This window comes from Homo sapiens, chromosome 3 (genome assembly GCF_000001405.40).
Source record: "Homo sapiens chromosome 3, GRCh38.p14 Primary Assembly".
NCBI classification, from domain to species: Eukaryota; Metazoa; Chordata; class Mammalia; order Primates; family Hominidae; genus Homo; species Homo sapiens.
The window spans coordinates 57994350-58007937 of NC_000003.12; the positions used below are offsets into that span (position 1 = coordinate 57994350).

General features: G+C 46.8%; 1 annotated feature.

Moving 5' to 3' along the window:
• Positions 3468–4043: an enhancer, noted in NCBI's record as "H3K27ac-H3K4me1 hESC enhancer chr3:57983544-57984119 (GRCh37/hg19 assembly coordinates)". NCBI's record gives its function as "activates a minimal SCP1, AML or CMV promoter by ChIP-STARR-seq in primed H9 embryonic stem cells {active_cell/tissue: H9 hESC(primed)}" and the evidence as "EXISTENCE:reporter gene assay evidence [ECO:0000049][PMID:30033119]".

A 13588-nucleotide genomic window follows, 5' to 3' on the forward strand; every position in this document is an offset into this window, starting at 1 on the left:
GAAGGCCAAGGTGGGAGGATTGCTTGAGTCCAGGAGTTAGAGACTAGCCTGGGCAACAGAGTGATACCCCATCTCTATCATTAAGAAAAAAATTAGGGCAGGGCGCAGTGGCTCATGCCTGTAAACCCAGCACTTTGGGAGGCTGAGGCAGGCGGTTCACGAGGTCAAGAGATCGAGATCATCCTGGCCAACATGGTGAAACCCTGTCTCTACTAAAAATACAAAAATTAGCTGGGCATGGTGGTGCACACCTGTAGTCTCAGCTACTTGGGAGGCTGAGGCAGGAGAATCGCTTGAACCTGGGAGGCAGAGGTTGCAGTGAGCTGAGATTGCGCCACTGCACTTCAGCCTGGCGACAGAGTGAGACTCTGTATTAAAAAAAAAAAAAAAATTAGGCCAGGCGGGCACAGTGGCTCACACCTGTAATCTCTGCACTTTGGGGGGCCAAGGAGGGTGGATCACCTGAGGTCAGGAGTTTGAGACTAGCCTGGCCAACATGGTGAAACCCTGTCTCTACTAAAAATACAAAAATTAGCTAATCATGGTGACGAGTGCCTGTAATCCCAGCTACTTGGGAGGCTGAGGCAGGAGAATCACTTGAACCTGGGAGGTGGAGGTTGCAGTGAGCTGAGATCATGCCACTGCACTCCAGCCTGGGTGACAAGAGTGAAACTCCATCTCAAAAAACCAAAACAAAAAAACCAGGCCAGGTGAGGTGGCTCATGCCTATAACCACAGGTACTCGGGAGGCTGAGGCACAAGAATTGCTTGAACCCAGGAGGCAGAGGTTGGAGTGACCTGAGATCATGCCACTGCACTCCAGCCTGGGCGACAGAGCAAGATTCTGTCTCAAAAACAAACAAACAAACAAACAAACAAACAAACAACCTGTTTTCCAAATTGGGTGTGTGCTATGATGCATCCCTACCAACAGTGTATGTTTTCAAAACATTAGAGAAACATTTAAGGTAGAAATAAAGTCCTTAAGGTAAAAAGTAAAAGTTGGCCGGGTGTGTTGGTTCACCCCTGTAATCCCAGCACTTTGGGAGGCCGAGGTGGGTGGATCATCTGAGGTCAGGAGTTTGAGGCCAGCCTGGTCAACATGGTAAAACCCCTTATCCACTAATAATACAAATATTAGCCAGGTGTGGCGGCATGTGCCTGTAATCCCTGTTACTCGGGAGGCTGAGGCATGAGAATTGCTTGAACCTGGGAGGTGGAGGTTGCAGTGAGACAAGATCGAGCCACTGCACTCCAGCCTGGGCGACAGAGTGAAACTGTCTTGAAAAAAAAAAAGTAAAACTTATCATTTTACCTCATCATGATTGCCTTGGCCCACTGCTATAAATCCTTTCAGGGTTTATTTTTTTTCTTATCCATGTACAGAACTGGACTGAGACATATAGGTGCCCTGGGCAGCCTAAAAAGTTGGCATCCCCTCAACCTGATATTTGTAAGATAGTTTTTCAAAATGTATTTAGGCAGAATGTGGAGAAACCAATTTTCTGTTAATGAAAAATAACATTCCTCTTTCTTTTCAAAATAAAGGATTTATTACAGGCACAGAATGTAAGCTGGCCTTTTGACTTATTTGGAATTGTCTTGGAATTGTAGTTCTCCAAGCCAGTCAGCTTTTTGGAGCTGCCTTTTTTTTTTTTTTTTTTGAGAAGGAGTTTCACTCTTGTTGCCCAGGCTGGAGTGCAATGGCACGATCTCAGTTTACTGCAACCTCTGCCTCCTGGGTTCAAGCGATTCTCCTGACTCAGCCTCCCGAGTAGCTGGGATTACAGGCATGCCACCACACCCAGCTAATTTTGTATTATTAGTAGAGACAGGGTTTCTCCATGTTGGTCAGGCTGGTCTTGAACTCCCAACCTCAGGTGATCCACCTTCCTCGGCCTCCCAAAGTGCTAGGATTACAGGCATGAGCCACAGCACCCGGCGGAGCTGTCCTAAAGGGAATAGGATCAGGAGCTGCGCTAACAAATCACTAGGTCTTGGGCGCAGCATGCAGCCTGGACCAAAGACTAAACTGACGTGACCTGACAAGTCCTGAGAGAATCTGTAGCTGGACTCTAGTGCTGGGGAGGAGGGTGTTTTCGTTTCCCCCAGTGGGTGCTATATACCTCTGATCACCGGGGGTTACAGGTCCACCTCATGTGGAAACCTGAGTTACCTGGCACCGTGTTTCCATTTCTTTCAGTCCTGTTTTGGCTCCCCTCCTAGACTGGTTCCCTGGGAGGCTGCCCGGCTGATGAGCAACTTAATCCATACATACATTAACATACATTAATCCATACATTAACATATATTAGTGCTTTTTTTTTTTTTTTATTTACAGACAGAATCTCACTATGTTGCCCATGCTGGTCTTAAACTTCTGGGCTCCAGTGATCCTCCTACCTCAGCCTCTCAGCCTTCCAAGTAGTTGTAGAGATGGGGGTCTTGCTATGTTGCCCAGGCTGGTCTCAAACTCCTGGGCTGAAACAATCCTCCTGCCTCAGCCTCCCAAAGCACTGGATTATAGGTGTGAGCCACCACACTTGGCTGTTAGTGCTTTTTAAATTGTTTTAACTTTACTTTTAATTTTTCTGAGACAGGATCTGGCTCTGTCACCCAGTCTGGAATGCAGTGGTTTCATCTCAGCTCACTGCAATCTCCACGTCCTATGCTCAAGCCATCTTCCCACCTCAGCCTCCTGAGTAGCAGGGGCTACAAGTGCACACCACCATGCCCTGTACTTTTTGTAGAGATGGGATTTTGCTATATTGTCCAGGCTGGCCTCGAACTCCTGAGCTCAAACAATCTGCCCACCTCTGCCTCCCAAAGTGCTGGGATTACAGTTGTGAGCCACTGCACCCAACTGCTATTTTTGTTTCTAAAATGTGCACACAAATTAAATCATACAAATTCATGCTGGTCTGTAACTTGCTTCTCCCCTCCTCCTGCTTTACAATAAATATTCAGATAAGCCTATATAGATCCATTACATTCTTTTAAGAAGTACAGCTGAGTGCAGTGGTTCATCCCTGTAATCTCAGCACTTTGGGAGACCAAGGTGGGAGGATCACTTGAACCCAGGAGTTGGAGACCAGCCTAGGTGACATAATAAGACCCCATCTCTAAAAAAAAAAAAAAAAAAAAATTATTTTAAAAGTGCCAAAGTAGCCCATCTGATGGATGTACTGTAATGCAGCTCCTTTCAAACTTGAATGAGCACATGGATCACCTTAGGGGTCTTGTTAAACTGCAGCCCCTGATTCAGTGGGTCTGGGTGGCACCTGAGATTCTGCACACTCCCAGGTGACGTCCAGGCTGCTAGTGGGACCACATTTTTTTTTTTTGAGACAGAGTCTTGCTCTGTCACCCAGGCTGGAGTACAGTGGTGCTATCTTGGCTCAGTGCAACCTCTGCCCCAGATTCAAGCAATTCTCCTGTCTCAGCCTCCCGAACAGCTGGGATTACAGGCATCTGCCATCATGCTCAGCTAATTTTTGTATTTTTAGTAGAGGCGGGTTTCACCATGTTGGCCAGGCTGGTCTTGAGCTCCTGACCTCAAGTGATCCGCCTACCTCAGCCTCCCAAAGTGCGGGGATTACAGGTGTGAGTCACCTCGCCCGGCCCTAGTGGGACCACATGTTATCAGTCCACTAGTGAGGGATATTTAGCTTGCTGTAAAAAGTGCTGCAATAAACTTCCTTGAAGATACATTCTGGAGTGCTACAGAATAGGTTTTGGAGTTAGAAAGCAAAAGGGTGGCTGGGCGTGGTGGCTCATGCCTATAATCCCAGCACTTTGGGAGGCCGAGGCGGGTGGATCACTTGAGGCCAGGAGTTCCAGACAAGCCTGGCCAACATGATGAAACCCTGTCTCTACTGAAAATACAAAAATTAGCCAGGTGTGATGGTGGGTGCCTGTAATCCCAGCTACTTGGGAGGCTGAGGCAGGATAATTGCTTGGACCTGCGAGGTGGAGGTTGCAGTGAGCCAAGATCGTACCACTGCACTCCAACCTGGGTGACAGAGACCCTGTCAACAAAAAAAGGAAAGAAAGAAAGAGGAAGAAAGAAGAAAGAAAAGAAGGAGAAAGAAAGAAAAGAAAGAAAGAGAAAGAGAGAAAGAAAAGAGAAAGAAAAGGAAGGAAAGAGAAAGAGAAAGAAAAGAAAAGAGAAAGGAAAAGAACGAAAAAGAAAGAAAGAGACAAAGAAAGAAAGAGAGAAAGAAAAGGAAGAAAGAAAGAAAGAAAAGCAAAAGTTGAGTTCTGATGCTGTCACTGTGTGACCTTGAGCAAGTCACTTCACCTTTCCGAGCTCTCCCCACTCCATAGCAATTCAATGAGTGATCATAAACGCCTCCACTCTTTTAGATAATAGGGATAAGAATAAACACTCTGTTCTCGGGCGCTCTGAGAATAATACTGCTAACTCTGGCTGGCGGAGGAGTAGATGAGATAAGGACAGAAAAGGGCTTTGTCAGCGTAAAGCCATTCGCAAAGGGGAAGCTCTGTTCCAGTTGGAAGGCAGACTGGCTTTGCCAGGTGAGCAGTAGCTAGACAGTTTTCTTTAGCAGAAAAGTGCTCTGTGGCATTTGTCTGCAGTTAAAACAAAATAAAACAGAGTCACACAAAAATCTTCTAAAGAAGTGAAAGTCAGACTGGGTGGAGGAAGACAGCCCACTCATTTGCAAATTGCACATGTGAGATTCTAGTGAGACTAAGGTGGGGTGTGAGGCATGCTCTGGCCATGGGTTCCACCTTGGGCTGGGAAGGGCCAGTGGGAGGAAGTTGAGGCCCTTAGCAGGCCCTGATTCCCCACCTCTGCTGAGGAACAACACGCAGATGTGGAGTGAAGGGTGGCTGCCGCCTTCATTCTCTTACCACAGAAAGGTAAGCTGTGCTTTGGGCAGTTAGGGCTGTGTGTTCTGAAGGATTGAAGAGATCTCCAAGATGCAGAGCTGGCTTCTAGAGTCGGTTAGACTAGGGTTCAAATTCAGATTCTGACACTTAATACCCACAGGAGCTTGCATAGGGGACTTTCTCTTTGAGCCTCAGTTTCCCAACTTGTGCTACAGGGATGATAATGTTAGTACAGTAGTTCTCCTTTGTCCACAGTTTCACTCTCCATGGTTTCAGTTTGCTACAGCTAACTACAATAAAAAAAACATGGAAAATTCCAGAAAGAATTCATGTTTTACATTGCACACCGTTCTGAGTAGCGTGATAAAATCTCACCCTGTCCCACCCTGTCCTGCCTGGGACGTGAATCATCCCTTTGTCCAGTGTGTACACATGCTGTCTACGCCACCTGCTCATGGTCCTCTTAGTTATCAGATTGAAAAAGCATGGGAAATATAGGATTCAGCACTGTGGGCAGCCTCACGCATTCACTGGAGGTCTTAGAACATGTGTGTCACAGATAAGGGGGGACTATTGTATCACACTCAGTAACACACACAGTATTCTTGAGATTTAAAAAAGGATGCGGTGGCTCACGTATGTAATCCCAACACATTGGGAGGCAGAGGCAGGCAGATCACTTGAGTCCAGGAGTTTGAGACCAGCCTGAGCAACATGGAAAGACCCCTATCTCTACAAAAAATACAAATATTTGGGCGTGGTGGTGATGTGCACCTGTGGTCCCAGCTACTCACAAGGCTGAGGTGGAAGGATCGCTTAAGCCTGGGAGGTCCAGGCTGCAGTGAGCTGCCATGACACCTTCGCAATCTGCCTTGGTGACGGAGTGAGACCCTGTCTCCAAAAAAAAAAAAAAAAAAAAAAAGAAAAAAGAAAAGAAAAAAGATAACCCATGTTAAGATACTTAGTGTGGCATTTCTTACATCTGTGAGGATCAAAGGAGAGACTATAGATACAATCACTTAGCCCACTGTGTGAATAAACAGACAGTAGAGAATTGCTGTCATGAAAATTGCTCTGCCCTGCCCCTTCTGATCTCCACCTTGGCTGCTGGATTAAGAGTGGGAGGGTTGGAGTGAAGGCCTGTGCCTTCTTTTTTATTTTTTGAGTCAGGGTCTCACTATGTTGCCCAGGCTGGTCTCCAACTCCTGCGCTCAAGAAATCCTTCCACCTCAGCCTCCCGAATGGCTGGGATTGCAAGGATGAGCCCCCCGGCCGGACTCCCATGCCTTCTTCAAGCAGCCTGCCTGCCAGCAGCCCCTGCCTTATCTCAGGTCAAGGCTGGCTGGTGGCGCCATTTTGAATCTGGAACTGCAAAATGCCATTATCTTTTGCTACCTGGTGGGGAAGGCCTGCCCTCTCAGCACTCCTCCTCTTCTTCCCACCTGAGTGGGCTTCCTCCCAGCACCCTACCCAGATGGTCTCAGGACCTTCACAGCCAGACTGGGGCTGGGGGGTGAGCACACCCACCTGTCTAGGGAGCTGTTGAGAAACCAGCTCCTCCTTCCTCTCAGGGTGGAGGCAAAGGAAATATGCTTCTTTATATTTTGCTTCTCTTTCTTGGTGGCAGGGTGTGGACATTGGTGTAAAATTACAACTGAGAAGGCCCCCGCCCTGGGGTGAGGACTCCTGGGGCCCCACCCTGGGGAGGACATGAATTCATTTTGCAAGTCCTGACTCTCTATCTCTATTTCCTTTGGAAAGCGGGCTTCTAAATCTGGAACCTTCAGCCTGCATTCTTTGGATGTTCAGTCATGAAGGTGCAGTGATGATCATGATAATAGCAGTATTAACTCCCTCAGTTGATACTTATTTGCTAAGTGCTATGCCCCCAGTTTCTCATTTATCAGAAACTCCTGGAAGACATGTTAACAATGGCGGTTACCTGTAAGGAAACAAACTCTGGGTAGCTCCAGGTCCTTGCAGTTAATCATAACTGTTCCCGGGGGACTTTTTTAGTATCCACGCTCTGCCACTCTGTGATCTCAGGCATATGACTACCCCTTTCAGCCTCAGTTGCCTTACCTGTAAAATGGGGATAATAACAACACCTCCTAGGGTTCTTGTGAAGACTAAATGAGATAACATCAGTACTCCAGAAATGGAAGCTTCTATTACTATGGCCACCACTACTTTTACTATTACAAATATCCTGACATTAATATAATGACTACAATAGTGGACCCCAGGACACTGAGAAACCACAGAATGAAGGTTCACCTGGGACCCCTCTCACAGAGCTGGGATTCCTGAATTGTGCAAGTGGGTTTCACATATAGAAATGGAAGTCCAAGCATTAGGAAAAATAACTAATGCATACTGGGCTTAATACCTAGGTGATGGGTTGATAGGTGCAGCAAACCATCATGGCACATGTTTACCTATGTAACAAACCTGCACATCTGCATATGTACCCTGCAACTTAAAAATAAATAATAAATAAATAAATATGCCAGGTGCAGTGGCTCATGCCTGTAATCCCAGCACTTTGGGAGGCCGAGGCAGGTAGATCACCTGAGGTTAGGAGTTCGAGACCAGCCTGACCAACATGGTGAAACCCCGTCTCTACCAAAAATACAAAATTAGGCTGGGCGCGGTGGCTCATGCCTGTAATCTTAGCACTTTGGTAGGCTGAGGAGGGCAGATCATGTGAGGTCAGGAGTTCAAGACCAGCCTAGCCAACAGGGTGAAACCCTGTCTCTACTAAAATACAAAAATTAGCCGGGCATGATGGCAGGTGCCTGTAATCCCAGCTACTCGGGAGGCTGAGACAGGATAATCGCTTGAACCCAGGAGACAGTGGTTGCAGTGAGCGGAGATCATGCCACTGCACTGCAGCCTAGGGGACTGAGAGAGATTCCGTCTCAAAAAAAAAAAAAAAAAGTAACTCGGTGTGGTGGCACATACCTGTAATTCCAGCTACTTGGGGGGCCTGAGGCAGAATTGCTTGAACCTGGAAGGCGGAGGTGAGCTGAGATCATGCCATTGCACTCCAGCCTGGGCAAAAAGAGTGAAATTCTGTTTTAAAAAAACAGATTAAAAAATAAATAAATAAATAAAAGAAAAAAAAGAAAGAAAGAAATGGAGGTCCCAAGGTTAGGATCTTGGTGAGACCACTATGGGTTGCCAACTTATTCACTGGTTTATTTCAACATCAAGCCTATCTCTACTCCTGCACTGACCCACAGGAAAGCCACCAGTAGCCAAAGGTGGCTGTTGAGCACTTGAAATGTGCCAGTCTAAGCTGAGATGTTTTTTAAGTATGAAATACATATTGGATTTCAAAGACAGTACCCAAACAAAGTAAAAATATAAAAATACTTTAAAATATCAATTGCATTTTGAAATGATAGCATTTTAGATCTTCTGGGTAGGGCGATCAGCTTGTTCTGGTTTGTCAGGGACTTTACTGGTTGCAACACTGATAGGTCTGCATCCCAGGAGATACCTTAGTCCTGGGCAAACCTGGTCATTTGGTCACCCTACTATCGGGTTAAGTATATAATTGTCATTAATTTTACCTGTTTCTTTTTACTTTTTTTTTCTTTTTTTGAGATGGAGTCTTGCTCTGCCACCCAGGGTGCGATGGCGCAGTCTCGGCTCACCGCAACCACAGCCTCCTGGGTTCAAGTGATTCTCCTGCCTCAGTCTCCGGAGTAGCTGGGGTTACAGGCATGCACCACCATGCCCGGCTAATTTTTGTATTTTTAGTAGAGATGGGATTTCACCATGTCGGCCAGGCTGGTCTCGAACTCCTGACCTCAGGTGATCCACCTGCCTTGGCCTCGCAAAGTGCTGGGATTACAGGTGTGAGCCACCGTGCCTGGCACCTTTTTACTTTTTGAATGACACTTAGAGGGGAGCCTTAGCACATTAGTGGCTGTTGGGCGGAGTTGATCACATTTGCTCATTTCACCTAGCAGGGAGGAGGGCCCTGGGAGTCACACTGGCTGATAAGTTTTGATGGATGAGTGCGAATGGAGGAAAGTATGAGGAACTGAGGGCCTTGGTCGTGGGGGAGGAAGAGGTTACCAACTCTGCCTGGAGTGAATCTGCTGCTCAGGGGCCCACGGAATGGACAAAACCATGTCCCAGGCTTGGGGAGACCACGGGGACCCTTGGGCAAAATACAGCCTTTGGAGTTAGACCCAGGTTCAAGTCCAGCTTTGTCCAGTCATTACCAGCTGACCAATAGCAAATCTTATCACTTAATCACTAATGAGGGGAACAAGCATTCAAATATAGTCATGTGTACATAATGACATTTCTGTCAACAACAGACAGCACAACACATTACTGTTGTGTTTGTGGTGATGCTGGTGTAATCATAACCTTCTGTGCTGCAGTCCAGTAAAAATATAGCACAGGCCGGGGGCGGTGGCTCACACTTGTGGAGGGCCACCTCCACAAGTTGCAGTGAGCTGAGATCGCACCACTGCACTCCAGCCTGGGCAACAAGAGTGAAACTCCATCTCAAAAAAATAAAACAAACAAACAAACAAACAAACAAACACTTTTTATTGCCTGGGTGTGGTGGCTCACGCCTGTAATCCCAGCACTTTGGGAGGCTGAGGCAGGAGGATTGCTTGAGCCCAGGAATTTTAGACCAGCCTGGGCAACATGGCGAAACCCTGTCTCTACAAAAAATACAAAAATTAGCTGGGCATGGTGGTGCGCCCCTATAGTCCCAGCTACTCAGGAGGCTGAAGTGGGAAGATAACCTGAGCCCAGGGAGGTCGATAATAAAATTTTAAAAATTTTTAGTAGAGATGGGATTTCACCGTGTTGGACCAGGCTGATCTCGAACTCCTGGCCTCAGGTGATCTGTGCACCTCGACCTCCCAAAGTGCTGGGATTACAAGCGTGAGCCACTGTGCCCAGCCAACATACTTGTTTATTATCAAATATTATATACTGTACATAATTGTATGTTTTATATATGTATGTATGTGTGTGTGTGTATATATATATATATATATATATATATTTTTTTTTTTTTTTTAGACAGAGTCTTGCTCTGTCACCCAGGCTGGAGTGCAACGGCACCATCTTAGCTCACTGCAACCTCTGCCTCCTGGGTTCAAACCATTCTCCCGCCTCAGCCTCCCAAGTAGCTGAGATTACAGGCACTCGCCATCATGCCCCACTAATTTTTTTTGTATTTTTGTAGAGATGGGGTTCCACCGTGTTGGCCAGGCTGGTCTCGAACTCCTGACCTCAGGTGATCCGCCTACCTCAGCCTCCCAAAGTGCTGGGATTAGAGGCGTAACCCACCGTGCCTGGCCAATAAAAAGTTTTAAATACAGAAAAAAGCTTACAGAATAAGGATTTAAAGAAAGAAAGAATTTTTGTACAGCTTATAATGTGTTTGTGTTTTAAGCTGTTATTACAAAAGCCAAAAAGTCAAAGAATTAAAAAATATATAAAATTAAAAAATTACAGTAAGCTAAGGTTAATTTCTTTTTTATTTTTCTTTTTTCTTTTTTTTTTTTTTTTGAGACGGAGTCTCACTCTATTGGCAGGTTGGAGTGCAGTGGCGCGATCTCGGCTCACTGTAACCTCCACCTCCCGGATTCAAGCAACTCTCCTGCCTCAGCCTTCCGAGTAGCTGGGACTACAGGTGCGTGCCACCCCACCCAGCTAGTTTTTGTATTTTCAGTAGAGACAGGGTTTCACCACGTTGGCCAGGATGGTCTTGATCTCTTGACCTCGTGATCCACCCGCCTCAGCCTCCTAAAGTGCTGGGATTACAGGGGTGAGCCACCGTGCCCGGCCTCTAAGGTTAATTTCTTATTGCAGAAGAAAAAGATTAAAAAAATAAACTTAGTATAGCCTCAGTGTACAGTGTTTATAAAGTCTACAGTAGTGCACAGTAATGTCCTAGGCCTTCACAGTCACGTACCACTCACTCACTGACTCACCCAGAGCAAATTCCAGTGCTGCAAGCTCCATTCATGGCAAGTGCCCATACAGGTAGACTATTTTTATCTTTTTATTTATTTATTTAGTTAGTTAATTTTTGAGATGGAGTCTCTCTCTGTCTTCCAGGCTGGAGCGCAGTGGTGCGATCTTGGCTCACTGTAACCTCTGCCTCCTGGGTTCAAGCAATTCTCCTACCCAAGCCTCCCGAGTAGCTGGGATTACAGGCGCCTGCCACCATGCCTGGCTAATTTTTGTATTTTTAGTAGAGACCGAGTTTTGCCATGTTGGTCAGGCTGGTCTCGAACTCCTGATCTCAAGTGATCCACCCGCCTTGGCCTCCCAAAGAGCTGGGATTACAGGTGTGAGCCACCACGCCCCGCCCAATTTTATCTTTTATATCGTATTTTTATTATACCCTTTTAATGTTTAGATTCACAAATACTTATTGTAACAATTGCCTACAGTATCAATATAGTAACTTGCTGTACAGGTTTGTAGCCCAGGGGCAACAGGTGATCCCCTCTAACCTGGATGTGTGGTCGCCTGTACCATCTAGGTCTGTGTGAACACACTCTCTGGTGTTCCTATCATGACAAAATCCTCTAGCATTCCTGTTGTTAAGCAACACATGAGTGTAGTTACTGAGTCCCTATTGTGAGCCAGGGCCGGGTAATATATTCTCTCCCCCAGGCTGTTGTGACCATTTCCAGTGAGTCAGTTCATCTGTCTGAACAAAGCACTCTGGCATTGATTGTATGCAAATAACCTGTTACAGAATGGTTCTACCCATAAACTGGCTGGCCTCTTTTGAGCAACCCTCAAAGTTGCAAGCCCTTGCCCTCTGTCCTGGTCAACCTCTCTTCCTCAGAAGCTTGCCTGCTCTGAACTCCTCTCCCAAACCGGGTTAGGAGCCCCTTCTCTGGTATCAGGGCACCCTGTGCCTCTCTTACAGACTTGCATTATGGTTCTAACTGTGCTGTGTGGCCTGGGCAAGCCGCTCAACCACTCGGTTATTTCTTCTTTTTTTTTTTTTGAGACAGAGTTTCACTGTTATTGCCCAGGCTGGAGTGCAATCTTGGCTCACCACAACCTCTGCCTCCTGGGTTCAAGCGATTCTCCTGCCTCAGCCTCCCAAGTAGCTGGGATTACAGGCATGCGCCACCACGCCCAGCTAATTTTTTGTATTTTTAGTAGAGCTAGGGTTTTTTCATGTTGGTCAGGCTGGTCTCGAACTCCTGACCTCAGGTGATCTGCCCACCTTGGCCTCCCAAGGTGCTGGGATTACAGGTGTGAGCCACTGCACCCGACTTGAAAGAAATTGCTTTGCACTGTGCTTGGCACAGAGGAACAGCAGGTGTTCATTCAATGCTTGCTGTTGTAATTATTCAGGCTTTTATCAACAGAGGGCTGGCCTGAGACTCTGCCATATCTCAGAACCTAGCACAGAACCTGGATGAGTACAGAGTAAGTGCTCAATGTATGCTGTGGTAGGCAGAGTAATAGCCCCCAAAGACGTTCACATCCTAACTCTCAGGACCTGTGAACATTCCCTTAAATGGCAAAGGGGAATTAAGGTTGCAAACAGGATTAGGGTTCTTAATCGGCTGATTTTAAAATAGGGAGATCATGTTGGACTAACCAGCTGGCCCAATGTCATCTTAAGAGTCCTTAAAAGGGCCAGGTGTGGGGAGGTTGAAGCTGCAGGGAGCCGAGATTGAGTCATAGCACTCCAGTTTGGGAGACGGAGTGAGACAAAAAAAAGGCTGGGCAAGGTGGCTCATGCCTGTAATCCCATCACTTTGGGAGGCAGAGGCTGGTGGATCGCTTGAGGTCAGGAGTTCAAGACCAGCCTGGCCAACATGGTGAAAGCCCGTCTCTATTAAAAATACAAAAATTAGCGGAGCGTGGTGGCGGGTGCCTGTAATCCCAGCCACTCAGGAGGTTGAGGCAAGAGAATTGCTTGAACCCAGGAGGAGGAGGTTGCAGTGAGCCGAGATTGCACCACTGGACTCTAGCCTGGGCAACGGAGTAAGACTCCATCGCAGGAAAAAAAAAAAAAAGGAAGATGTGCCTATGGAGAGAGGACTGTCTGAGGTCTGAGAGACTCCACCTGACATTGCAGGCTTGCTTTTCTGTTTTTTTTTTTTTTTTTTTTTTTTTTGAGACGGAGTTTTGCTCTGTCGCCCAGGCTGGAGTGCAATGGCACCATCTCAGCTCACTGTAACCTCTGCCTCCCAGGTTCAAGCGATTCTCCTATCTCAGCCTTCCCAGTAGCTGGGATTACAGGTACGCGCCACCACACCTGGCTAATTTTTGTATTTTAAGTAGAGATGGGGTTTTACCATGTTGGCCAGGCTGGTCTCGAACTCCTGACCTCAGGTGATCCACCCACCTTGGCCTCCCAAAGTGCTGGGATTACAGGTGTGAGCCATTGTGCCCAGCCCATTGCAGGCTTTCACAGAGAAAAGGGGCAGGAGTCAGGCGCGCAGGCAGCTTCTGGAAGTTAGAAAACACAAGGAAACAGATTCTTCCCTACAGCCTCCAGAAGGGAATGCATCCTGCCAACACTTTGTTTTTAGCTCAGCAAGACCTGTGTGGGCCATCGAACCTACAGAACTGAAGGATAATACATTTGTGGGTGTGTGTTTTCAAAGACACTAAGTTTTGGTAACTTGTTACAGCAGTAACTGGAAACTAAGACATGCAACAAGCCTTATTGTTCATTTTTACCACCACTACTGGGCTGTTGGTTATG